Source organism: Homo sapiens, chromosome 3, assembly GCF_000001405.40.
Source record: "Homo sapiens chromosome 3, GRCh38.p14 Primary Assembly".
Taxonomy (NCBI): Eukaryota; Metazoa; Chordata; class Mammalia; order Primates; family Hominidae; genus Homo; species Homo sapiens.
The window spans coordinates 153879592-153884342 of record NC_000003.12 but is presented as its reverse complement, the minus strand read 5'-3'; the positions used below and the strand labels follow the sequence as shown (position 1 = coordinate 153884342).

General features: G+C 33.0%; 1 annotated feature.

Annotated features, from left to right (window-relative positions):
- Positions 2230–3429: an enhancer, noted in NCBI's record as "P300/CBP strongly-dependent group 1 enhancer chr3:153598703-153599902 (GRCh37/hg19 assembly coordinates)". NCBI's record gives its function as "activates an origin of replication core promoter dependent on BRD2, BRD4, P300/CBP, MED14 and CDK7 cofactors, with strong dependence on P300/CBP, by STARR-seq in HCT116 cells {active_cell/tissue: HCT116}" and the evidence as "EXISTENCE:reporter gene assay evidence [ECO:0000049][PMID:35650434]".

Genomic DNA, 4751 nt, shown 5'->3' with positions numbered 1-4751 from the left:
GCAGATTCAGGGCTTTGTGATTAAAAGCAATACATTTCTAACAAAAACAGTACATATTTTAAGGAAAATTAAATGCATCATAAATATAATTTTATTTGTAATTGAATTAGTTTGTTGCCCTAACCACTCCACTCATCAAATTTTTTATATCAATTTCATAGTTATGCCACAAACCTTTCGGTATATACAAACTAAAAGTAACGTATTTTGCACAATCTAATGAGTGATTTCCTCTTCTGTAAAATTAGCCTACACGCTTCAAAGGTCTGTGCAGCTCCAGCAGATTATGGTTCTAAAGTACCCTGTTCACAATGAAGTGAAAGATTCAAAATGAAAGAACTCATCCCACTTTCTCATTTCTACAAAACATTGTTTGGAGTTTTGTTGGATTTTCAAGTGCCCTTTGAGGCTGTTTTCATCTGACTTCAAAAGCCAGTCCCAGACTTATCTTTTACTGATTTCAAAAAGGCATCACTGACTGTATAATATTGGTTAAAATTACTTTTTTTTTGTTAAAGAAAGTTTAATGACTTCAAATTCTGCCTGAATATTTCAGAACATCATTCTCAAGATAAATGTTCAGAAATTTCTACTTTATATCTTTAGAAATATTATCCATTTTCCTGCAACTCACATTTAAATGTATAAAATAGAAGGCCCTTGAGGCTGTTTGCATCTGTGCAGAATTTTTTAAAATTTTTTTATTTGTTAGCAGCAATGCATTTTTGAAAGCATTTAAAGTTAAACTGAATTCATTTAAATTGCACTAGGGTTTCATAAAATCTCTTTATATTTTCATATTTAAACCCCACGATGAAAACCAATCTCAGGTATCAGAGCATCAGGAGGGATAGGTATAAAAATGAGGGACGCAGCCCTGGGTAACAAGACCTTTTAATTATATAGCAGAGTGAAAAATTCAGCTTAGAAGCCTAAACTTAAAGTTAGAGCTAACAGCTGATTTGTTGAAAAGTGTTATTCAATTTTGATTTGAGTGTAAACTACTCAAGGACTTCAAAAGAGAAAGAGAAATTGTTGTTAAGGAACACAGTAAGAATTATAGTAAAAATTCATCATTGAATTTCAGAAAAGTCATTGCTTACCCATTTCAATTTTTGTCAAAGGTTTTAGAGAAGGGTAGAACAACTGTTCTATTACAATGCACGTTTGTAAATGCCACTGGAAATATATGATAACAATTTTGGATCATAAAAATGAATGAATTCTGTTATCTTATACAATTCTCCAATAAAAAGAACCAGGGCTCTTTGGAAAAATATTTGTTTCTATGGCTGGTGCAAAGAACATATAAGAAAAGTCTATAGCATCTTGTAGTCTTCTTCTCACCCACTGCCTATAAAAAGTACTCAAAAAACAAAACCATGGAGCGTTTTTCAAAGGGACACAGGAGACAAGCTCAGTGAGCTTCCAGTGGCCAAAGCTAAAAAATTTGAACAACAAAATAAATAACATAGCATTGGATTTATAGCCCAATGTATAAAGCAAATACACATACTTTTTATAAGTACATATTAGAATATGTGAGTAGTACTTCTATACATAAATGAATAAATAAGTACATAAATGAAGCAGAAACAAATCTCCTGCACAAAAGAATTCCAAGTAATTTATGTAGCATGTAACTTTATAGTAAAGAAAGCTGGCAAACACTGTCTCAGTCAGTTGATCAATTATTAACATCACCAGGGATAAGTTGTGCTGATAACATGCACCCCTTGATATGACGTGATAAGGAAGAGGCACTTCACTTTTGTGATCTTGCTTTCCCAAACCCATAGTTTCAGTCTAAGAGAGAAAATATTAGACAAACCCAATCTGAGGGACATTCTATAGAACGTATCACCAGTAATCCTCAAAACTGCCAAGATCATGGAAAATATGGAAAGTCTAAAAAGAAACTTTCACAAACCAGAGGAGACGAAGGAGCCATGATGACTAAATGTAATACGTATCTGGGACTGGATCCTGTAACACAAAAGAGAACAGGACAATAGGAGGGAAAAATGAATGAATTCTGAATTAAGTATGGAGTTTAATAATAATGTATCAGTATTGTTTATTAGTTGCGCCAAACATACAACCCTAATAAGATACAAACAATGGGGGAAACTAGCTGTGAGGCACCTGGGAACTCTCTTATTTTTATAATTTTTTCTGTAAATATAAAACTATTCTAAAATTAAAAGTTTAATATTCTTGGACTGTGGTTGACCAAGTGTAACTGAAACCACAGAAAACAAAACCATGGATAAGAGGAGGTTACTGTATAATTAAAAACCACATTATGTGTTAATTTATGGGGATAAATGAGATCATGATTTACGTTTACTTTTTGAAGATAAGGATTCTCTAACCTATAGAAACTCCCTCCAGCAACCAATACATTATTGAGAACTCAACAATAAAGATGATAATAATTGTGAAGTAATACTAATGATGGTACACATTTTAAGTCTTTTACAATTTACAACTTACTTTCATAAGTTTTATCATGTTGGAGAATGAGTGATGACTCTATAAGGCACTTTGAGCTTTGTGGCAGGGGAAGTATAATTTGGAACAATTTATTTCTCTGAGACTCATATAAACTATAGCCATCATGCAAGTCTTCTATTGCCTAGTTATTCCAAAAGTCTTTGTAAACAAGATCTAATAAAATAGAAAATGCAAAAATAAATAAATACATAAAACAAGCAACGTACCTTTTGGAAGCTTTAGATCTAATAAAATAGAAAATGCAAAAATAAATAAATAAATAAAACAAGCAACGTACCTTTTGGAAGCTTTAGAGAACGCATAATCAAATTCCTTTATTTTTAAATGGAAAGCAATTCATGTTTTAAATTGCATGCTGTTCTGAGTAATGTGACGAAATCTCACGCCATCCCACTCTGTCCTGCCTGGGACGTGAATCATCTCTTTGTACAGCACATCCACGCCATCTATATTACCTGCTCATTAGTCACTTAGTAACTAACCGTCTTGGTTATCAGATCAACTATTGAGCATCACAGTGCTTGTGTTCAAGTAATCCTTATTTTACTTAATAATGTTCCTAAGTAATGATGCTGGCAATTCAGATATGCTAAAGGGAAGCAGTCAAGTGCTTCCTTTAGTGAAAAGATGAAAGTTCTTGACTTAATAAGGAAAGAAACATAATCATTTGCCAAGGTTGCTAAGAGCAAATAATCTATCCATGAAGTTGTAAAGAAGAAAAAAGAAATTTGTGCTAGTTATAGCCCCAGTGCATAATAAATATTTAGTTAAGATGGAAAATGTGTGTCTATATGGTTTGGTACTATCTGCAGTTTCAGAATTCCACTGGGTGTGTTGGAACATATCCCCCATGAATATGGGGGGACTGTGTAGATGTGACCTTAGGAAGGTTAAAAATAATTGTCCAGTTAGTTTGGTTTCTCTTGCCTGGGTCAACCAAGAGCTCCACATGCTGAGTGATATGAATTATATTTGATGAGCCAACCTAATAAAGAAAGATAACAATATTGAAAATATATTTCACATGCACATGATTTGGCTTTGGAGTATGCGGACACTGGCTGACTTACCTCAATAAGGCAAAGCTGTGGACAGTAAGGCAAACTTGCTGAATGTTTATTTTCCTGAGTACACACTTTCCGAATATGAGTGAGTGACAAATCATTTTAAAATAAATTTGGACCTTAGCCATCTTTTGAAATAAAGCAGTGGTTGAAGTAAGAAGAAAACTAAAGCCAAAATGCAAATGCACTTGTGAGACAGATTGACAGTGGTGGAAACTGCTGTGAGCTCTCTCTGTAGATTAAAAAAAAAGCTACAGTTGGCATATAATATGTTGCACATTTTAAAGTGTACAATTTGGTAGTTTTTGACATATGTATGCCACCATGAAACAATCACTACTATCAAAATAATGAACATATACACCACCCCAAACTGTCCTGTGCCACTTGTAATCTCTCCCTCTTACCTTTCTCCACACCTCCTTCATTCTTTTTTGCCCCAGTTTTATTGAGGTATACTTGAATAATAAAACTATAAAAGTTCAAGGCATAAAATGTGATGATTTAATATACATATTGTGACTTGATTACCACAATCAAGTTATTTGACACATCCATCACCTCATGTAGTTACCAGTTTGTTGTTTGTTTGTTTGTTCGTTTTGTATACCACCACCATTCTTGTCCCCAGGTAATCACTGATATACTCTTCATGACTCTGGATTAGTTTGCATTTTTTAGAGTTTTCTTCAAAAGGGATTATACAGCATTTTTCTTTTTCTTTTTTAATCTGCCTATTTCTTACAGCATTATGATTTTTGAGATTCCTCTATGTTGTAGCATGTATCAATACTCTGTTCCTTTTTAATACCATTGTATAGAAATAGCATCATTTATATATTTATTCACCTGTTTATGACCATTTGGGCTGCTTTCCAGTTTTTGCGTATTACAAGGAAGGCTGCTATGAACACTGTAATACAAATCTTTGTATGGACATTGCCTCCTTTTCTTCTGGGTAAATATCTATGAGTAGAATGATAGGATCACATGGTAGGATATATGTTTAATTTTTTAAATAAATGACCAAACACTTTTCCAAAGTAGTTGTACTATTTTAAGTTTCTACCAGCAATGTATGAGAGTTCCAGTTTCTTCATATTTTCACCAACACTTGTTTTAAAATTTATACGTCCTTGTAAATATGTAGAGATATCTCATTTTGATTTT